The sequence below is a fragment of the Homo sapiens genome, chromosome 7 (genome assembly GCF_000001405.40).
Source record: "Homo sapiens chromosome 7, GRCh38.p14 Primary Assembly".
In the NCBI taxonomy this organism is placed as follows: domain Eukaryota; kingdom Metazoa; phylum Chordata; class Mammalia; order Primates; family Hominidae; genus Homo; species Homo sapiens.
In genome coordinates, this window is record NC_000007.14 from 40,170,283 (window position 1) to 40,193,764 (window position 23,482).

Below are 23,482 nucleotides of genomic sequence, written 5' to 3' on the forward strand. Positions count from 1 at the left end.
GTCTGATCTAGCAATAACATTATATCTCTCCATGTCAGATCAAAGGATTGTCCTAACCCTTATAAAACATCAATATAGCCATCAGGGTTATCTGAGAATTTACCTAGGTCTATTTTAATTTGCTTCAAGTCTGACAGGGAGAAAAGTACATACACTCTGACTGGGCTGAATTCTCCAGAATACATCTTAGGGTCATTTTTGCCTTAGGGGGAACATTTTCTATCTGAAAAAAGAACATAGGGATGCCAGTGCCTCTAGTCATTTTCCAATGAGCATTAGTCCTAGAGTGTCCTCTATGGTCCTAATGCTTATTCCTTTCCAGGGTGCATAACCACCCATGGACCTCTGCTTATCGGATTAGTTACGCTCACCGATGTAGCAGTCCTGCACCTGTTTTCCCACCTTTCTTAACCACAAAGAAAGGGGTATGGGTTGCTGGAGTCTAGTGGTCCTTTAACAGCTTGCCCAACATTGCCTTTGCACTCAGAGGTGAGTTCCTTTCCAGGGTGCATAACCACCCATGGACCTCTGCTTATCGGAATAGTTAACGCTTACTGATGTAGCAGTCCTGCACCTCTTTTCCTGCCTCTCTTGACCACAGAGAAAGGGGTTGGGGCTGCTGGATTCTAGTGGTCCTTTACCAGCATACCCGACATTGCCTTTGCGCTCAGGGGTGAGTTCTAGAGTTGGGCTGGGTTCCTGAATATTTCATAACAACCCAGCTGCCCCATCAAGATGCAACAGTTCTTATGCAAATTTATTTCAGAGAGGGTGTAGGTAACCTTTTGGGTTAGGATTGAGATAGAGTTTTTGCCCACTAGGGCCTTTGTCCTTCTTTCCTTTGTAGGAATGTGCCCTAATTATCGACCTTAAACTTTTTCTTGCCCCAGATTAAGTCCTTTTGGGTAAGAAATATGAGAGATGAATCCTGTTTATCCTATGTGCCTTTTTCCTACGAGAAGAAGAGCAAGGAGAAAAAGATGGGTTTGCTTTTTTTGTAAGTACTGTAAGGCTTGCCTGAGTGTAAACAGCTCACATGTTTGAGCAGACCAATTTTCCTAACTCGCTTTTACAAGTGTTTCCCTATCAATTACTGCATACCCATTGTGTTTTTTCCCTCAGTCACCCTGGAGGAACCATCTACCTTCTTGTCCTGAATGGAGTTCCTCCTAGGTCTGGTTGGACCTTTGTATGGTAATTAAGATTTAAATCCCCTGTTAGGAAATCTGCTGGGTTAAGGGAATTTTCAGTGGTTAGTGTTAAATCACCTTTTTCTAACAGAATAGCTCTATACTTTTAGACTTTTGAGTTAGTAAGCTACGTTTTTGCTTTTTTTGAATTAGGATAATTCTGAGCTGGTGAGGTGTGCTCACAATGAGGTTTCCTCTAAACGTTACTTTTCTACTGCTGCTAAGCAAAGCAGTTGCCATTACTGATTGAATGCATTTGGGCCATCCGCAGGTTAGTGGATTAAGAATTTTTGATAGGAAGGCTAGGTATGTGTTGTCAGTGGTCTCAGTGTTTTCAGGCTACGCCCTTGTTTACACTGACAACAAGGTAGTATTGGAGTGTTATAGAGTCACGGAGAAGATCTTCAATTATCAATTGTAGGTTTTAAATTTACCCTGGCTTTTAAAGGAATAGGGTATATACTGTTTTTTCTTTAACTACTTGTGTATCTCTCTTTCTCTCTTTTCCTCTCTCTCTCTTTCCCTTTTCTCTCTTTCCCTCTCTCTCTTTTGGTAGATGGATTTTGGGAACACGGTGGAAGGACGTTAGCTTGTTGCCCCCATTTGCCACTATAGGAATGTGTGCCTCCCTTTAATTTACTCAATTCGCTTTCATCCTGATCTATTATGTTGTCATAGACCCAGTTCCAGTTGTTAAAGTACTGGGTCATCAGTTCTAAGGCCCTGGCCAAGGAGCCGAGGCTTGGAGATTGTATTGCAGTGGGGGAAGCTGGGTAGAAATTGGGGGAGGAGAGCATCTTACACAATGGGAGAGGAATCCTAGCCATTTACAAACTTGGGGTCCTGGCAAGGGTGGTGGGAAACGGGTCCCACATAACTGCCCATGTCAAGAGCTATATATTGGGAGGGGCACCAGGGACAAGACTCCCTGGGTTCATAGCCTAGATGCCTAAGGACACAGCGTAGCGCTTCCTTAGATCCCTTTGGAGATACAAGCTTCTCTAATACTTGGGAGAGGAAGTGAAAGTCTGAAGCATTAGTACCTAGGAGGCAGGGATCAGAGGAAATAGATTCAGAGGTAAGGAGAATTTTGAGGCTACACTTTAAAAAAGTCATGATCAGGACCCAGGACGTATGGGTCAGAAGGAGATGTAGGGGCGCACGCATGGGCAACTGTTGAGTAAAGACTTCTGGCTGCACCATGATCTCGACCGGCCAATGCTGGGAGTTTGGGATGACACCTTTCTGTCTCTAGTCAGCCCTCAGCTTCCCCAGGAAAATTGTGAAAGCAGAAGCTGGTTCCAGGCAGACCATCGCTCCCAACCAGAAGGGTTGGGGGTTGTTAGAAAGCCTTTTCCCAGGAAGCCTCACACCTGAGTGTTAAGTCCAGCAGCCATGCTAATCGTTTTTAACTGGCCAACAGGTGCCTGGTATTTCCTCTGATTCTAAGGAAGGATAGGAGAGAATAGCAAGTGAAAGTGGTCCAATATTACTCACAGCTTTGGAGAATCCCCAGACGAGGCCACCAAATGTTACGGGTGGGTCTTTGTTCTTAGAGCTCCCATGATATGGTGGCAGGCTGCTCCCAAGATGGCGGCAAGTCTTTTATTCTTTGACCTGGGGTTCTTGGCTTCACATATTCCAAGGAATGGAACCTAGGGCCATGCAGTGAGTGTTACACCTCTGTTAGAAGCCGTGGGTCACGGAAGAGAACCGTGGAACCCAGTGACTAGTGTTCAGCTCGATTAGGACAAACCTAGGCACTTAGCTATGCAGGAACAATGGCGAGCCTGTAGCCCAATTGAGAGCAGCAATGGGTGCCTCACTGGATCAGAAACACAGCGGACACCCTGCCAGATCCGGAGGGGTGGAAGTCAGCGGCGGGTCTGCGACAGCAGCAAACAGCAGTGGTGGACAGCAAGCGAAAGCTCAGCTTGAGCCATAACAAACACGGACCAGAAGAGTGTGCAGTTGCAAGATTTAATAGAGTGAAAACAGAGCTCCCATACAATGGGAGGGGACCCAAAGGGGGTTGCCCACTCCCGGCTCAAATGCCTGGGGTTTATATCCCATTGTCCCTTACCCTGTGCTTTCAGGTGATATATGATTTGTCTATTTCTTTACCTCCTGCTTTTAACCTAATTGTATTTTAGTGAGCCCTCTTTACTACCTGATTGGTTGGATGTGAGTTGAGTTAAAAGCCCCGTGTTTAAAGGTGGGTGTGGTCACCTTCCCAGCTAGTCTTAGGAATTCTTAGTTGGACTAGGAAATCCAGCTAGTCCTGTCTCTCAATTTCACAGGTGTATACATCTGTCAAAATTTATTTAATTGTACAATTTATTGTATTTATAGAAATAATATATAGTATATCATATAAATTATATATAATGTATTATATATAGTTATTTGTATAACATAATTTATTTATATAATGTATATCCTGTGTGTGTGTGTGTGTGTGTGTGTGTGTGTGTGTATTTTTCTTAGAAACAGGGTCTTGCTCTGTTGCTCAGGCTAGAATGCAGTGGTGTGATCATGGCTCACTGTATTTTTTTTGTTTTGTTTTTTGAGATGGAGTCTCACTCTGTCCCCCAGGCTGGAGTGCAGTGGCATGATCTTGGCTCACTGCAACCTCTGCTTCCTGGGTTGGAGCAATTCTCCTGCCTCAGCCTTTCAAGTAGCTGGGATTACAGGTGTGCGCCACCATGCCTGGCTAATTTTTGTATTTTTAATAGAGACGGGGTTTTGCCATGTTGGCCAGGCTGGTCTTGAACTCCTGACCTCAGGTGATCCTCTCACCTCGGCCTCCCAGAGTGCTCGGATTACAGGCGTGAGCCAGCACACCTGGCCCATCATGGCTCTCTGTAACCTTGAACTCCTGGGCTCATGTTATTTCCCGATCTCAGCTTCTCAAGTAGGTAGGGCCACAAGCATGCCACCACACCTGGCTAAGAATATTATAATTTATTATATATAGTGTTATTATATGTAAGTCATTCTTCAATAAAGTTAATTAGGTGCTGGATGCAGTGGCTCATGCCTGTAGCCTCAGCTACTTAGCAGGCTCAGGTGAGAGGATTGCTTGAGCCCAGAAGGTCGAGGTTACAGTGAACTATGTATGTTCCTGCCACTGCACCCTAGCCTGGGCAACAAAGCCCAGACCTTGTCTCTCAAAACATAAATAAATGAATAAAGTTGATTATAAAACATCTAAAGTACAGCAGAAAAAACAAAATTTCTGCCATGAACATTTTTATACCTATGTCTTAGCATACTTATAGAATGTTCCTGTGAATTCAATTCTGCCAACAGGAAAACTTAATTAAAGGCTATTAAGATTTTAAAATATTATGGAAAGTGTCAATTGCTCTCCTAAAAGATTGTTACTGATTGATATTCCACAATGTATGAAAGTGTCCATTTCACCCCACTTTTGCGAGTATTGAATAGTTATCTTTTAAATGTTTTCCAATGTGGTGAGAAAAAAAATTTTATTGTGATAATATTCATCTTTTTTATTTTAAGTGGAATTGCTATGAACATCTTTTGCTATGATACTGGAGATTTTTATTTATTTGTGAGTTGGTTGCTCATGTTCTTTTCCCACTTTTCCATTACGCTGTGTTTCTTTCTTACTGATATGTGAGAGTTCTTTATACTTAAAAACCTTTCTTCTTTATTTTTTAGCCTTTCGGGCTGTCATTTATCTTCTAATTGTGTTCATGGTATCTTTCACTGTAGTGCGTTTAAATTTTTTTTTTTTTCGAGACAGAGTCTCACTCTGTCTCCCAGGCTGGAGTGTAGTGGTGCAATCTCGGCTCACTGCAGCCTCTGCCTCCCGGGTTCAAGCGATTCTCCTGCCTCAGCCCCCCTAGTAGCTGGGATTACAGGTATGCACCAACATGCCCAGCTGCTTTTTGTATTTTCAGTAGAGACAGGGTTTCGCCATGCTGGCCAGGCTGGTCTCTGACTCCTGACCTTAAGTGATCCGCCTGCCTCCTCCTCCCAAAGTGCTGGGATTACAGGTGTGAATCACCGCACCTGGACTGTGTTTCTTTTTAAAGACAACTTATTGATTTCATTAACACCCTATTGATTCATTAACATTGAACTCATGATCTGCAGCACTATAACTCATGCCTGAATGAAGCTTATCTAACAATGTATTTTCTCCATAAGGCACATCATGGCCTTCTTATGCTTGGGAACACTAGACAGCACTATGCTTCTGGGCCATAAACAGTGAGATCACCAACAAAAAGCACAAAAATGTTAAAAACGTAACATTAAATATACTGCAAGAGGACACTTGTTTATAGTATGAGAGGTGAAACAAGTATCACCTTGTTCAACCTCAGCTGGGAACATGCACAATGACCTACTCAAATTTTCCTGCATCTGTGCATGTCTGGGAATGACCGTGAAAGCTCCACATGTATTGATTTTGGGGTTACAAATAAATTTTAGTGAGTAGGCTGGGCGTGGTGGCTGGCTCATGCCGGTAATGCCAGCACTGTGGGAGGCTGAGGTGGATGGATCACCTGAGATGAGGCGTTGGAGATCAGCCTGGCCAACATGGCGAAACCCCGTCTCTACTAAAAGTACAAAAAACAGCGGGACATGGTGGCACATGCCTGTAATCTTAGCTACTTGGGAGGCTGAGGCAGGAGAATCACTTGAACCCGGGAGGTGGAGGTTGCAGTGAGCTGAGATCACTCCAGCCTGGGTGACAGAGCAAGACTCCATCTCAAAAGAAAAAAAAAAAAAATTTAGTGAGTAGTCAAATTCCCAAATACAGAATCTGAGTATTAACTGTAATTCCTCTGTGGTGCTGCTGCCATGTGTACAATGAGTCAGTAAAAGCTTCATAGTGGAAATATTTATCAAAACACTGCAGGGGGCTGTATAGCAGGAGATACACAGAATGATACTTCACTCTTGTTCACAAATGTAGTATAATTTATAATTTATCTTTTAATTTTTAAAATCAAAGTTTTAGGTATACTTGGTTTTAAAACTTCAGAAGTTCTGCAGTGTTAATTATGAAGAAGAGTAACCCCTTATGCCTTTCTGCCCCTTCCCTTTGCCCAGAGATAACAAATTTCAATTCTTTTTGCCTTTTTTTTCTGCCAAATTGCTAAATAACCTGATTATAATGTTATTGATTATTTTGTTTTTTTTTTAAGGCACTATCGGTAGAGATAAAGACTAAATTTCAGGCCAGGCACGGTGCCTCATGCCTGTAATCCCAGCACTTTGAGAGGTCGAGGTGGGTGGATCACCTGAGGTCAGGAGTTTGAGACCAGCCTGGCCAACATGGCGAAACCCCGTCTCTACTAAAAATACAAAAATTAACTGGGCCTGGTGGCAGGTGCCTGTAATCCCAGCTACTTGGGAGGCTGAGGCAGGAGAATCACTTGAACCTGGGAAGCGGAGATTGCAGTGAGCCAAGATCGCAAGCCTGGGAGACAGAGTGAGACTCCGTCTCCAAAAAAAAAAAAAAAAAAAGACTAGCTTTCTTTCACTACCATTTGAACAAATATGCATGCCCTTTCCATCCTTCCAAATTATACATTTTGTTAGATCACTATTCAGTATTTAGGTTGTTATTATATTGTTTCATCAAACTAAAATCTGGCCTAAGAAAGCCTCCATACTCACATACTTGAGTTTTTACCTACAACCCACAACCTAATTTAGTAGGTAAGCAAACTGAAAACCTAACTTAGGGGTATGCTTCAATAACAGTTGCTGACTCTCAGCCAGTCCCAGCAGCTGGACCTCAAAGACTTAAGCCACCAGCTATTCAGATCGTGTTCTGATAAGGCACTAGCTGTTTCTATACCTTGCTTCTGCTCCCTGCACATCACTTTCCTTTTTCTATCCATAAGTTCTCTCCCACTGCGCCCACTATACAAGCAGCGCTGGCGGCCCTCTAAATCTGCTGTGACTTGGGGGAGGGTGGGGAGGGGTTGTCCGATTTCACAAATCATTTTTCCTTGCTAAATTAAACTGTTAAATTACGTTTGTTTAAAAAATTTTTTGAAATAGTACAATTATTATTCATACTCTGATTACATTGCTGCTCATGTATACCTTCTTATTTCTCTTTGTTAATATTTGTCCAGTTTCTTTAATTGCCTTCTCAATATCTATCCTCCATTTATCCCATACCGCAATGCAAGTGCAAACCTCTCAGCTATTGTGTTGGTATCTTCCTTGTTGTCATCCTGAGCTTTCACTTCACCCCTCTGCTTTGTTTTATTTTATTCTTTTTGTATTTTATTTTATTTTTGAGATGGAGTCTCCCTGTGTTGCCCAGGCTGGAGTGCAGTGGTGTAATCTCGGCTCACTGCAACCTCTGCCTCCTGGGTTCAAGAGATTATCCTGTCTCAGCCTCCTGAGTAGCTGGGACAACTGGTGCTCCTCGCCACACCCAGCTAAATGTTTGTATTTTTGTAGAGATGGGGTTTCACCATTATTGGCCAGGCTGGTTTCGAATTCCTGACCTTAAGTGATAGGTCCGCCTTGGCCTCACAAAGTGCGGGGATTACAGGCATGGGCCACCTTGCCTACCATTATCTGATTTTTAATAGTTTGTTTGAATCAGGCTCTAAGTGAGGCTCATATACTGCGGTTGGTTGACACTTTTCTTAAGTCTCATTTAATTTGGGGTCTTCTTCTACATCTTGCATTTTCCTTGCCTTTTTATTTTTTAAAGAAATAAACATTTCCATTTCCTACAGTGTTTCAGGCATTCTGGATTTTTCTGCCTGCTTCCATATGGTGTCCTTGAACATAGTCCTCTGTCTCCTATAGCTCCTGTCACTTATTTGTAAGTTGGATCTAGAGTCTTCCTTATATTCAGGTGGGGAGGAATGATTTTCTTATAAAGTAATTTTCTAAATTTCTAGATTACCTTTGAAAGTAATTTTTCCGAGAAAGGATGCATGAGAGGTAGTTTTTGAAAACCTGTGTGACTAAAAATATATTTTTTTCTACCCTCACACTTGACTTGTGCTTTAATTGGGTTTAGAATTTTAGAGAGAAAGAATTTCTCCCCTCAGAATTTTAAGGGTTTTTTTTTTGCTCCAGTTTTTTGTCTTTCAGCATTGTTGAGAAATTCAATGTCCTCCTGATAACCAATACTTTATATCTGACCTGCTTTTTTCTCCCTAGAAATGTTTAAGACCTTTTGTCAGAGAAGTCAGTATTCCAGATTTTCACAATGATGTCTTGGTGTGCTTGCTCTGTGTCTTTTTAAAATCCATTATACTGGGCCAGTAGAGGGACCTTCCAATCTGGAAATTTATGCCTTTCAGTTCTAGGCAATTTTTTCTGAATTATTTCTTTGGTAATATTCTCTTTTCTGTTTTTGCTGTTCACTAAAGAAGCTCATATTATTAGGTTTCCTGGACTGATGTTTTATTTTTCTTACCTTTTCTCCATTTTCCACTTTTATTTTATTTTTTTGTTCTGCTCTGTAGGTGATTTTCTTATCTCGATCTTTCTGCCTTTCTATAATATTTTTCCTTCTATCATATTTTTAAGTGTCAAGGGCCACAACAAGCAGGATTTTGTGAGCTGCAGAAAGAAGTTGGATTTCATTCTAAGTTTAGTAGGAAGCCATAGAGGATTTTGAGCAGGGAAGGATATTATGTTTTACATAAAAAAGGATCATTCTCACTGCTATAACAGGTTATCTCTGCTGTAAGCCATTGTATTAATCTATTGCCATATAACAAACCACTCCAAAACTTAGTGCGTTAAAACAAGACTTTATTTTTTTCTCAAAGTTCTGTGGGTTGATTGGGCAATTCTTTCTTTCTTTTTTTTTTTTAAGACAGTTTTGCTTTTGTTGCCCAGGCTGGAGTGCAATGGCGCCATCTCAGATTACTGCAACATCTGCCTCCTGGGTTCAAGCGATTCTCCTGCCTCAGCCTCCCGAGTAGCTGGGATTACAGGCGTGCGTCACCATACCTGGCTAATTTTGCATTTTTAGTGGAGACAGGGTTGGCCAGGCTGGTCTGGAACTCCTGACCTCAGGTGATCTGCCCGCCTCGGCCTCCCAAAGTGCTGGGATTACAGGCGTGAGCCACCATGCCCGGCCAGTTGGGCAGTTCTTTTGCTGGATTCACCTGGGTTTATTCATGTGTCTGCAAATAGCTAGTGGCTTGGCTCGGCCTGGGTGTTCCAAGATGGCTTCATCCAGATGTATGGGCCTCAGCCGGGACTGCTGCAATGATAGTCTCAGCTGAACTTCTCTCCATGTGTTCTTTCATCTTGTGCTTCTTCACATGAAGATGGAAGTGGTCCAAAAAGTCAAGCCCCAGTGTGTAAGCACTTATCCTGCCTCTGCTGGCATCAACTTTCCTAATATCCTGTTGGCGAAAACAAGGCAGATGTCCAAGCCCAGTGCCAACGTGGGAGGAGAATGTATGAGGTTGTGGATATCTGGAGGTGTGATTTTTGGGGAAATAGCTGTAACAATTTACCACATTAAACATTGTTTTAGCTACTTCCCTTTTTCTGATGCTTTGCCTATCAGTTTACCTTCTGATTATAATTTGGTTTTCCATGTAAGTATGCTGTCAAGAAAATAATGCACCAATCACACGCACTTCAAATATTTGCTATTGCTGTGATTGTGATAGTAATTTTTTTTTTTTTGAGACGGTGTCTTGCTGTGTCGCTCAGGTGGAGTGCAGTGGCTCGATCTCGGCTCGCTACAGCTTCCGCCTCCCGGGTTCAAAGGATCCTCCTGCCTCAGCGAGTAGCTAGAATTACATGCACATCCCACAGTGCCTGGCTATTTTTTGTATTGTTAGTAGAGATGGGATTTACCAAGTTGGCCAGGCTGGTCTCAGGTGCCTGACCTCAAGTGATCCACCCGCCTCCGCCTCCCAAAGTGGTGGGATTACAGGCGTGAGCCACCATACCTGGCCTGTGACAGCAATTTCTTACAAAATAATAAATTGGCTCATTTCAAGGACAGAATGCCTACTGTATGAGCTTCCAGTATTTTTTTTTTTTTCGAGACAGAGCCTTGCTCTGTCGCCCAGGCTGGAGTGCAGCGGCATGATCTCAACTCACTGCAACCTCTGCCTCCTGGGTTCAAGTGATTCTCCTGCCTCAGCCTCCCGATAATTGAGATTACAGGCATGTGCCACCATGCCTGGCTAATTTTTGTATTTTTGGTACAGATGGGGTTTCACCATGTTGGCCAGGCTGGTCTCGAATTCCTGATCTCAGGTGATCCGCCTGCCTCGGCCTCCGAAAGTGCTGGGATACAGGAGTGAGCCACTGTGCCTGGCTGAGCTTCCAGTATTCTTTACTAGAGTCTTGTGGTCTGTGGACTCCCTTGCTAAGAATCACTGTAGTCCTTGTGATCTGTCTCAAGCTTATAATGGTGTATGTGAAAATGTAAGAAAATTACTAATGAATTATCTTGAAATGTTTTCTCTGTTTTGCCAGATATGAACAATATAAAGCCATTGGAAGGGGTAAAAATTCTGGATCTAACAAGGTTTGTATTGGTTTATCTACATTTTGGTGATTGGGTTTTTCCCTTTCCTCAAAAACTTTTAATTTTTTGAATTATAAGAAGAGACTTATATGCTTATGTTGAAATTTTAGAGAAGAAAATAAGAAAAGAAAAATTGCTGTAATATCATCATTCTATGAGACAATTAGTGTAGTATTTATGCCTTTTCCCAATGTATATTTATATATAATCTTAAAAAACAAAAATTGGAACCATATTGAAATTAGTTTTACCCATATTTTAAACACAATGTTATATTTTTAATATTTTCCTATGTTATTCAAAATTCAACAAAAAAGTGAAATAGTAATTAATATATCGATGTCACATAATTACTTAATCATCCTCTAATCTTTCACGATTATAAATTAGGCTTCCTTGTACACAAATGTTTCCCTCAGTTTTGATTTCTTCCTCAGGATAAAATTCTAGAAAAAGAATTATAGGGGCCAGGCGCGGTGGCTCACGCCTGTAATCCCAGCACTTTGGGAGGCTGAGGCGGGCGGATCATGAGGTCAGGAGATCGAGACCATCCTGGCTAACACGGTGAAACCCCGTCTCTACTAAAAATACAAAAAAATTAGCCAGGCGTGGTGGTGGGCACCTGTAGTCCCATCTACTCGGGAGGCTGAGGCAGGTGAATGGCATGAACCCAGGAGGTGGAGCTTGCAGTGAGCTGAGATAGTGCCACTGCACTCCAGCCTGGGTGACAGAGCGAGACTCCGTCTCCAAAAAAAAAAAAAAGAAAAAGAATTATAGGATCAAAGGGGATATATATTTTTAAAGCTCCTATTACATATGGCCAAATTACAGTTTTAACTGTTTTGATTCTTACTAGGATTATATGAGCGTGTCTGTGTTGACGGGTTGTTGGAAAATAATTAATATAAACATTTTCAAGATGGTAATTAATTTATTTATCATTTTTAACATTGTAGAGTCCTGGCGGGACCTTTTGCTACTATGAATTTAGGAGATCTTGGAGCAGAAGTTATAAAAGTGGAGAGACCAGGTAAAGCTATTACTCCCTTTAAAAAATAGAAACAAGCTAATAAATATTTTAAAATAATTCTCTAAATACCCATGTTTAGTGTACCTATAAGTGGGATAAGGAGAGAATTAAAATGAAATGATTGTCTTTTTCTTCTCCATTTCTTGTTTTCCTGTGAACTAACACTAATGATATCTTTTTCACTCCTTATGTGTGCTAAGTGCTAAGGCTCAAGCCAGTTTCTTCTTTGCACCTGAAGGCTTTTGTTAGAAGCTGAGGCTGGGCACAGTGGTTGACGCCTGTAATCCCAGCACTTTGGGAGGCCAAGGAGGGCAGATCACTTGAGGTCAGGACTTCGAGACCAGCCTGGCCAACATGGTGAAACCTCTTCTCTACTAAAAATACAAAAAAAAGTAGACAGGCATGGACCTGTAATTGCAGCTACTTGGGAGGCTGAGGCAGGAGAATCACTTGAACCCGGGAGGTGGAGGTTGCTGTGAGCCAAGGTCATGCCACTGCACTCCAGCCTAGGCAACAGAGCAAGACTCCGTTTCAAAAAAAAAAAAAAAAATGAAAAAAAAGGGACTGAGATGCAGCGTATAACAACTATGATAATGACACCTACAGTGCCGGGGCAAAGTTCTCAATGCTTTGCCTGGGCTTATTTAATCTTTACAACAACCCTATGGGCTGATGCTATTATTCATAGTTTATAAAGGAGAAAATGGAGGCACAGAGAAGTAAAGCAACTTATTTAGGGGCACACAGGTAATAAGGAATATCCAGACCCTCAGCCATGATTCTGGCCTTCCTTAGCCCCAGCCTAGCTTTAGCATTGAGACTGAGATTACAATGGGCCTGGCCACCCTCCCTCACCGTGGAATCAAGGGAAGGCCAGGAGAAAGGAGGATAAAAGTGAAGAAATAGGGTACAGAAGAAGGAGAGAAGGAAAAGGAATCACAGTCCCTCAAAAAACAACCTAAGGCTGGGCGTGGTGGCTTACGCCTGTAATCCCAGTACTTTGGGAGGCCAAGGCAGGCGGATCACCTGAATTCGGCAGTTCGAGACCAGCCTGGCCAACAAGGTGAAACCCTGTCTCCACTAAAAATACAAAAATGAGCCAGGCATGGTGGCAGACACCTGTGGTTCCAGCTACTTGGGAGGCTGAGGCAGAAGAATCTCTTAAACTTGGGAGGTGGAGGTTTCAGTGAGCCGAGGTCGTGCCACTGCACTCCAGCCTGGGTGACAGAGTGAGACCCTGTCTCAAAAACAAACAAACAAACAAACAAAAAACCTCAAATACTCCAACCTAAGTCATTCTTTTCTATTCCTTTTTGTTTTTATTTTTTAGAGACAGCATTTCCCTCTGTCATCCAGGCTGGAGTACAGTGGTGTGATCATAGCTCACCATAGCCTCCAACTACTAGGCTCGAGCAGTTCTCCTGCCTCAGCCTCCTGAATAGCTGGGACTACAGGCATGTACCACCATGCCCAGCTATAATAATAAAAATTTTTTTGTGTGTGTAGAGACAGGGTCTTGCTATGTTGCTTGGGCTGGTCTTGAACTCCTGTCTCAGCCTTTCAGAATGTTGGAATTACAGGTGTGAGCTACTACTCCTGGCCATTTTTTTCTATTCCCAATAAAAGAAACATTTCCCCATTTTATAATTTTAAAGGTTTTGAAGCGGGAAACGCCTAAGCTTAGATCAGTTTTTTGCTTTTATGTTTTTCATCTGACATCTTTCCTGTTCTTTCTTCCTCCTTTGTTCACCAAATAGATATATTCTGTGTACACATTTCTCACTTTTGTTTGGTATCATCTTAGCATTTTGGTGTTTAGTTCAAGCTGTTATTGATAAAGTTGCTTAGAAAAGCATCATTGTTGGCCGGGCATGGTGGTTCACGCCTGTAGTCCCAACATTTTGGGAGGACGAGGTGGGCGGATCGTTTGAGCCCAGGAGTTCAAGACCAGCCTGGCCAAGATGGTGAAACCCCCTTCTCTACTAAAAGTACAAAAATTAGTGGGGCATGGTGGCAGATGCCTGTAATCTCAACTACTTGGAAGGCTGAGGCAGGAGAATCTCTTGAACCTGGGAGGCGGAGGTTGCAGTGAGTCGAGACCATGCCATTGCACCCCAGCCTGGGCAACAAGAGCCACACTCCATCTCAAAAAGGAACGTGTCATTGTTTTGTGCCCTTTCTCTCCAATAAGCACTTAAAGGGCACAGTCCATGTTTTTTAATGTCTGCTATATCATCATATAAACAGCTTGTTTTATTTTATTTTTTTTTGAGACAGGTCTCACTCTGTCATCCAGGCTGGAGTGCCATTGTGTGATCATGGCTTACTGCGGCCTTGACCTCCCGGGCTCAAGCAATCCTCCTACCTTAGCTGGAACCATAGTTGTGCGCAACTGTGCCTGGCTAAATTTTTTTTGTTTTGTTTGAGATGGAGTCTCACTCTGTGAGCCACTGCACCCGGCCTTATTAAATTTTTTTTTTTTTTGGTAAAAACAGGGTCTTCCTATGTTGCCCAGGCTGGTCTTGAACTCCTGGGCTCAAACGATCCTTCGACCTCAGCCTCCCAAAGTGCTGACATTATAGGTGTGGGTAAGCCACCACACATGGCCTATGCAGCTTGTTTTAGAAGTTTTCAAAAATTAGCATTATTATTTATGTTTCAAGATCTGATCCTACGGGTCTTAAACAGAATCCCCAAATCAGTGAGACTGGTATAGTGCTGAATAGTGTGTATGTATCTCTAAGACTTACAAGAGAATGATTTATAATTACATCAACTTAGTAATTGACCATAAGTGATAGCCATATAAAGTAGAATATCTTTTTGTTTGTTTCCTTCTTTTTTAAAAAATTTTAAATTTTATTTTGTCTTTACAGAAAGTAGAATGTTTGATCTGGAAGATTCAATTTCTTGTTAAGTAGATATTCTTAAGAGGCCAAAGCAGTTAGCAGAAGATTCTCTGATGAGCATGGGGAATATTGTATATTAGTATATTATATTTTATTACTTTTTATTATCCCTGACAGTCTTAGGCAGTAGAAGTGCCTGGCAAGTCCTGCTCCCAGAGATGATGCTTTGTTTATTCAGCTAATGATGTTCATCGCTTTTAGTCATTGTTGGATACATGCGGAAGAATGTTTATTTTCTAGCTCAACATTTGTTTTTTTTCTTTAAAGCTTCTAATTTCCATATTGCTATCTGATTTCAACACTGCAGCACTACAACCATTGGTTTTCTTGCATTTTCCATTCCTAGATAGAACATTCAATGTATTAATAATTTCTCTTGCTATTTCTGTTGGCCACCAGGGTAACATTTGTATTTCTATTAATTTTATAAATTGTTGTTCCCTATATAGTGAGGCCTATTTCCTCTTTGTACTTTTTAGTTTCCACCATGGAAACTAAACCACAACAGATCTTTCTTTGTCTAGGCCTTTATTATGTCTCATCGCCATACACTTGGTATCGGGCTTTGTTCCTAGCAGGGATTTATTGTCTTCTTTTTTTTGAGACAGACTTTTCGCTCTTCTTGCCCAGGCTGGAGTGCAATGGCACGATCTCGGCTCACTGCAACCTCTACCTCCCAGGTTCAAATGATTCTCCTGCCTCAGCTTCCTGAGTAGTTGGGATTACAGGCATATGCCATCACCCCCGGCTAATTTTTTTATTTTTAGTAGAGACGGGGTTTCACCATGTTGACCAGGCTGGTCTCAAACTCCTGACCTCAGGTGATCCACACACCTCGGCCTCCCAAAGTGCTGGGATTACAGGGGCGAGCCACCACATCTGGCCTATTGTCCTTTTTTTGACCAGTTACTATGACTCCCTGTCTTCACCCTTCTGATTAATACATTTTAATATTCATATTATATATTTAATTGTTTTGGGTTTTTGAGATAGTTATTCAACACAGATATGAGAAAAAGGGATTTTCATTAAAAGCAACTTGGTGGTATTTTCACATTTCAATAGAAAACTAGTTTCATTTTATATCCACTTCTACAGTTCCTCAATTACATAAAATTTGGTTGTTGTTTTCTTTCTTTCTTTCTCTCTTTTTCTTCCTTCCTTCCTTCCTTCCTTCCTTCCTTTCTTTCCTTCTTTCTTTCTCTCTCTCTCCTTCTTTTCCTTCCTTCCTTCTCTTTCTTTTCTCTTTTATTCCTTCCCCTCCCCTCCCCTTCCCTCCTCTCCCCTCCCCTCCCCTCCCTTCTCCCCTTTCCTCCTCTTCTCTTCTTTTTCTTTTCTTTTCACAGGATCTTGCTCTGTCCCCTAGGCTGGAGTGCAGTGGCGCACTCCTGGCTCAGTGCAGCATTGACCTCCTGAGCTCAAGTGATCCTACCACCTCAGCGTCCTAAGTAGCTGGGAATACAGGCGTGTGCTACCACACCTGGCTAATTTTTTCATTGTTTGTAGAGACAGGGTTTCACCATGTTGCCTAGGCTGTTCTCAAACTCCTGGCCTCAAGTGATCCACCCACCTTGGCCTCCCAAAGTGTTGGGATTACCAGCATGAGCCACCGGATCTGGCCTGGTTGTAGTTTTCTGATTTACTATTAGATGAGATTATTTTTATTTGTGTAACCAAAGAGCATATTATATTTATGTATACTCTTCTTTTTGTAGAGTTAGCCAGTCAGTGGGTGTATCTGTGTGCCTGCAGGGCCAGGCAGGGAACCTAAGTGAGGAAAGTGAGCAGGGAAGTGAGCAAGGATGCAGCTGAAATTTCAGCATTGTCTCCACTAGGGGACACGAGGCCAGGGCTGTTGGTCTTTTGTTCACTGCTGTGTCTGCTCTGCACAGAGCAGTGTCTGTGACATAGTTGGTGCTCATTAAATATTTGTTGAATGAATGAGTGTGTCAAAAGGTCATCTAAGAAAGGCAGTGTGAATTTTTAAAGATTTCCAGATTTTGAAATCATGGCAGCTAGTTAAAAATTTTAAGAATTGTGCAGGTCACGTATGTTTATTGCGGCACTGTTCACAATAGCAAAGACTTGGAACCAACCCAAATGTCCAACAATGATAGACTGGATTAAGAAAATGTGGCACATATACACCATGGAATACTATGCAGCCATAAAAAATGATGAGTTCATGTCCTTCGTAGGGACATGGATGAAGCTGGAAACCATCATTCTCAGCAAACTATCACAAGGACAAAAAACCAAACACTGCATGTTCTCACTCATAGGTGGGAATTGAACAATGAGAACACATGGACACAGGAAGGGGAATATCACACACCGGGGCCTGTCGTGGGGTGTGGGGAGTGGGGAGGGATAGCATTAGGAGATATACCTAATGTTAAATGATGAGTTAATGGGTGCAGCACACCAACATGGCTTATGTATACATATGTAACAAACCTGCACGTTGTGCACATGTACCCTAAAACTTAAAGTATAATAATAAAAAAAAAAAGAATTGTGTGGGTCAAATAAAACATGTCTCCCAAGCTGCAGGTTTTTCCAGTTTATGTCCTTTAACCATACATTTCCTGTCATGTGCCATGGACACAGAGCCTTCTGAAACCCCAGTTAGATCAGGAAAGCCTGTAGGCCTCCAGTTTAGACTCCTGACATTATCTCCACCTGAGATATGAGTGCAAATATCTAAAATAAACTACTAGCCTGGTGCAGTGGGATCACTTTGGGAGGCCTAGGCGGCTGGGTCACTTGAAGTCAGGATTGAGGTCAGGAGTTCGGAACTAGCCCGGCCAATATTGTGAAACCCTGTCTCTACTAAAAATAAAAAATTAGTCGGGCATGGTGGTGCACGCCTGTAATCTCAGTTACTATGGAGGCTGATGCAGGAGATGTCATTGGTTTATCTCCAGTTAGAACTAATGCTTCTTGGCTGGGTGCGGTGGCTCATACCTGTAATCCCAGCACTTTGGGAGGCTGAGGCGGGTGGATCATTTGAAGTCAGGAGTTTGAGATGAGCCTGACCAATATGGTGAAACCCTGTCTCTACTAAAAATACAAAAATTAGCCGGGCATGTTGGCGGGTACCTGTAATCCCAGCTAGTTTTAGCAATTGATGGTACAGTGAAATTATAGTTCTAGAAGTTGGTAGTACTATTTTTATTTTTATTTTCAAGGTCACTTAGAAACTGCTTTAAATGGATGGGCGCGGTGGCTCACGCCTGTAATCCCAGCACTTTGGGAAGCTGAAGCGGGTGGATCACCTGAGGTCAGGAGTTTGAGACCAGCCTGGCCAACATGGTGAAATCCTGTCTCTACTAAAAATACAAAAATTAGCCAGGTATGGTGGTGCACACCTGTAATCCCAGCTACTCAGGTGGCTGAGGCAGGAGAATTACCCGAACCCAGGAGGTAGAGGTTGCAGTGAGCAGAGATCGTTCCTCTGCACTCCAGCCTGGGCAACAGAGCAAGACTCCATCTCCAAAAAAAAAAAAAAAAAAAAACAAACCCCAAAGATTAATAGCTCATGTTATTATTTTCAGGAGCTGGTGATGATACACGAACTTGGGGGCCACCTTTTGTTGGGACAGAAAGTACATATTATCTCAGTGTTAACCGAAATAAAAAAGTAAGAATATCATCCCTTTTTTGCTTTTTGTGTGTAATTCTCTTATAATAGCAAAACTGTTGATATCATTGTGGCTTGTTTTTTTCTTCCTTAAAAAAATTAAGATGTAACTAATATTTCAAATAAATTAAAATTCTATTCATTTACCATTCACTAAGTAGAAATAATGGAGCTTTTTACTACTCTTTCTTACCTACTAAGTAACTTAGAACATTTCATAAGAATTTATAATGGAAATAATTTTATGAAATAGAAAAATTATTTGATTCCTTACATTTGTTATTATTAGGGAATAATTGCCTAACACTCGGTATTATACTTTAAAAACATCTCCTATCATCCTTGTTAGCATATTAATATATCCTCATGGTAAATAGAATCAGTAAAGATGATTTAAATATTTCTTCATGCATAAAATAAATTTAAGAGGATGATCTATGATATGAATGGCTTTCTTGTCAGCAATAAGAAGAACTTTCATGGCTGGGCACGGTGGCTCATGCCTTTAATCCCAGCACTTTGGGTGGCTGAGGCGGGCGGATCACGAGGTCAGGAGATCGAGACCATCCTGGCCAATATGGCGATACCCCGTCTCTACTAAAAATACAAACATTAGCTGGGCGTGGTGGCGTGTGCCTGTAATCCCAGCTACTTGGGAGGCTGAGGCATGTGAATCGCCTGAACCCGGGAGGCAGAGGTTGCAGTGAGCCAAGATTGCACCACTGCACTCCAGCCTGGGTGACAGAGCAAGACTCCATCTCAAAAAGTAAAAAAAGAAAAAAAGAAAAACTTTTATGATAGTATTTTAATACACATACTTTTTTTTTTTTTTACTTTTTATTTTAGATTCAGGGGATACATGTGCATGTTTGTTATGTGGGTATATTGCATAGTGGTGGGGATTGGGCTTCTTGTGTTTTGGTCATCGAAATAATATATATATATATATTTTTTAATTTTTAGAGTATTGCTGTTAATATCAAGGATCCAAAAGGGGTGAAAATCATCAAAGAGGTACAGTATGATGTATAGAAAGCATCCTACCACCTAGGTTATAATTAGGGTTTGGAATATCAGAGCAAAAGTGTTTTAAAACTCAATTTTATGGGTGATCTGTACGTTTGCAACAAATACCTTTTAAGTATTTACTTTGATTTGTATACTTCTTTGTAAGTGTGATGTGCTTTAAATTTTTTGTATATTGTGTATCATTATGGTGCTAGCTACTATTGACTGAGCACCAACTCTGCAGCAAATCCTGGGCTTGGGCACTTTGCTCACATTATCTCCTCTAATCCTCAGATTTTACCTTGTAAATGAAGTATTGAAATCTCATTTACATAAAAGGGAATTGAGTTTCCTGGTGCCTAAGTGATGCTCCAAGATTCCCTAGCTAGTATGGGGAAAAGCTGACATTTGGATCTGGGTCACATCACTGGAAAGTCCAAGCTTTCTCTAACCCTTACTCAGATGACCAATATATCCAGACCTGATCTGAGCATCTTTCTTAGAGGAGCTGGAAGGCACAGTGGTTAAATTAAGGGTGGATACCTTTGCATGGGATTTGAATCCTGCCTTCTGTGCTTACTGGCTATATGACCTCAGACAGGTTACATAACTTCTTTGTGTCTCAGTTTCTTCATTAGTAAACTGGAGGTAATAATAGTACCTACTTTCTTTCTTTTTTTAGAAACAGTCTCGCTTTGTTGCCCAGGCTGGAGGGCAGTGGCATGATCTCAGCTCACTGCAACCTCCACCTCCTGGGTTCAAGCAATTCTCTTGCCTCAGCCTCTGGAGTAGCTGGGATTACAGGTGTGCACTAGCACACCTGGCTAATTTTTGTAATTTTAGTAGCAATGGGGTTTCACCATGTTGGCCAGGCTGGTTCGAACTCCTTACTTCAAGTGATCTGCCTACCTTGGCCTCCAAAGTGCTGGGATTTACAGGTGTGAGCCACCGCGCCCAGCCCAATAGTACCTACTCTCTAGGGTTGTTGTTAGAATTGAGTTAGTCTTTGTAAAATGTGTAGACGAGTGCTTGCCACATAGTCAGCACTCATGAGGTATTAGCTATTATTATTCCTATGTTCCTGATGTTGGATTCATCATGTGGGATAAACCTTGTTTGCCATCCTTGTTAAGGTTTAAGTTGAATCTAATGGTTGTATAGTATTCTTCTGTATTCAGGGGATTGGTTCTACTAGAACCTCCACATATACCAAAATCTGTGCATACTCAAGTCCTGCAGTCGGCCCTGTGGAACCTGCTTATACAAAAAATTGCCTGTCAGGGTACATGGGTTTTGCATCCAGTGAATACTGCATTTTCCATCCACGTTTGGTTGAAAAGAATCCACCTAGGGGTGGACTTGCACAGTTCAAACCCCTGTTGTTCAAGGGCCAACTGTACTTAGGGCTATTTGGTTAGAGAACCAAGTCTCAAACTTATTTATTTAGAGACAGAGTCTTGCCGTGTCACCCAGGCTGGAGTGCAGTGGCGCGATCTCGGCTCACTGCAACCTTTGCCTCCTGGTTTCAAGCAATTCTCCTGTCTCAGCCTGCGGAGTAGCTGAGTCCACAGGTATGTGCCACCATGCCCGGCTAATTTTTATATTTTTAGTAGAGATGGGGTTTCACCATATTGGTCAGTCTAGTCTCAAACTCCTAACCTCAGGTGATCCACCCGCCTCGGCCTCTCAAAGTGCTGGGATTACAGGCGTGAGCTACCGCGCCTGGCCTCAAACTTTATTTTTTACCAAAACATTAACTTAGCTTCAATTGCTCTGCTGCTGCTTTATGTTCTCTGTCTCAGTTATTGAAAGATAATCTTTAATTATTAAGATCAGAATCAGGGACCATTCTTTTTAGTTCTGCTGGATCAATGCAGCCAATTTAGAATTTTCGTTAACTAGATATATTTTGAACCCAAAACTTGAAAATCATCCTGATCTTACCACTCTTTCTTCCCATATCTTTCCTGTAGCATAACTTAGGTTTGTTTCTGTTTTTCTTTTGAAACTTGGTTTGATTTTTCTAAATTGTTTTCCTGGCCTCAAGCAATCCGCATGCCTCAGCCACCCAAAATGCTGGGATTACAGGTGGGAACCACCATGGCCAGCCAATTGCTTTTAGATAGTTATTACAATTAATAAGTTATGTATCTTACTATCTAAAGGAAAAATTATTTTTTCTCTAGTCTTTCATATTTCTGGTACAGATTTCTCTTCTGGCCTTAAGAGTAGCAAAAAATGCCAGGCATGGTGGCTCACGCCTGTAATCCCAGCACTTTGGGACGCCGAGGTGGGCGGATCATGAGGTTAGGACTTCGAGACCAGCCTGGCCAACATGGTGAAACCCTGTCTCTACTAGAAATGCAAAAATTAGCTGGGCGTGTTGGTGCGTGCCTGTAGTCCCAGCTACTTGGGAGGCTGAGGCAGGAGAATTGCTTGAACCCGACAGGCGGAGGTTGCAGTGAGCCGATATTGCACCATTGCACTCCAGCCTGGGTGACACAGTGAGATTCCATCTCAAAAAAAAAAAAAAAAAAAAAAGGATTAGCAAAAATAACCCCTCTCCATTTAGGCCTTGGTGGCTATGATTGCTAATACAATGAGTTTAGTTTATAGAAACAGTTCCAAAGTATTACACAAGGCAATCAGCTGGATACATGAGAGCTTCAAAAAGTATGACTCCTTTGTCAGCTAGGCTAACCAAAAACAGGTTGTGTAAAAACTGAAACTCTGCCTAGAAAACCTATATGAAACTTAGTATTATTGTGGCAATATGATTTGATAACTTCTGATCATGTCTTATCCAATATTTCAGACAATTTTCTATGTTAATTAGTTGACAGTTACAATATCATTATTATGGGCATGTGTTATGGTCAGCAGAGCAATGCATGAGTTTTATTTTCCTATAACATTTTGTTATGAAAAATTAAAACATTCAGAAAAGTTGAAAGAATAATGAACTCTCATTTATCCTATGCCTAGATGAAACAAAAATATTAGAATTTTGCTATATAGCATGCAGTTTATTTTCTTTCTTTCTTTTTTTTTTTTTTTTTTGAGGTGGAGTTTTGCTCTTGTCTCCCAGGCTAGGGTACAATGGTGCGATCTCGGCTCACTCCAACCTCTGCCTTCTGGGTTCAAGCAATTCTCCTGTCTCAGCCTCCCGAGTAGCTGGGACTTCAGGTGCCCACCACCATGCCTGGCTAATTTTTGTAATTTTTAGTAGAGACGGGGTTTCACCGTGTAGGTCAGGCTGGTCCTGAACTCCTGACCTCAGGTAATCTACCTGCCTCAGCCTCCCAAAGAGCTGGGATTGCAGGTATGAGCTACTGTGCCTGGCCAGCCTGCAGTTTATTTTCTTTAGTGCTTGTAGTAGTGTTTTTTTTTTTTTTTTTGAGACAGTCTCACTCTGTTGCCCAGGCTGGAGTGCAGTAGTGAGAATTTGGCTCACTGCAGCCTCCACCTTCTGGGCTCAAGCAGTCCTCCTTCTTCAACCTCCTGTGTAGCTGGGACTACAGGCATGTGCCACCATGCCTGGCTAATTTTTAAATTTTTTGTAGAGACGAAGCCTTGGTATGTTGCCCAGGCATGTCTTGAACTCCTGACCTCAAGTGATCTATCCCCCCGACTCAGCCTCACAAAGTGTTGGGATTACAGGTGTGAGCTATTTGGCCTGGCCAATTACTGTGTTTTTTTTTTTTTTTTTTTTTTGAGATGGAGTCTCACTCTGTTGCCCCAGGCTGGAGTGCAGCAGCACGATCTTGGCTCACTGCACCTCCACCTCCTGGGTTCAAGTGATTCTCCTGCCTCAGCCTCCTGAGTAGCTGAGACTACAGGCACGTGCCACCACGTCCAGCTAATTTTTGTAGTTTTTGTAGAGACAGGGTTTCGCCATATTGGCCAGGCTGGTCTCGAACTCCTGACCTTAAGTGATCTGCCTACCTAGGCCCCCCAAAGTGCTGGGATTTACAGGTGTGAGCCACTATGCCCGGCCAATTTATTTAAAAAAGATTTTTTTTTTTTTTGAAGCAGGTTCTCACTCTGTCACCCAGGCTGGAGTGCAGTGGCATGATCTCGGCTCACTGTGACCTCTGTCTCCCAGGTTCAAGTGATTCTTGTGTCTCAGCCTCCCGAGTAGCTGGGATTACAGGCATGTGCCACCACACCTGGCTC

General features: G+C 42.1%; 1 protein-coding gene across 19 annotated transcripts in view; it reads left to right on the forward strand.

Moving 5' to 3' along the window:
• SUGCT (succinyl-CoA:glutarate-CoA transferase) overlaps positions 1-23,482 on the forward strand; it is a 903,812-nt gene that overhangs the window by 35,278 nt on the left and 845,052 nt on the right. For 17 of the 19 annotated variants that reach the window (XR_007060157.1, XR_007060158.1, XR_007060156.1 and 14 more), the window contains exons 2-5: positions 10,665-10,716; positions 11,673-11,746; positions 18,213-18,298; positions 19,262-19,312. Coding sequence is in view for 16 of the 19 variants with exons in the window: in XM_047420840.1 (XP_047276796.1) it covers positions 10,665-10,716; positions 11,673-11,746; positions 18,213-18,298; positions 19,262-19,312 (263 nt within the window). In the remaining 3 variants the exon portion in view is untranslated. Of the gene's footprint in view, positions 1-9,276; positions 9,527-10,664; positions 10,717-11,672; positions 11,747-18,212; positions 18,299-19,261; positions 19,313-23,482 lie in introns of those variants that run through there. The other 2 variants (XM_017012621.1, NM_024728.3) reach the window with 2 other exon arrangements.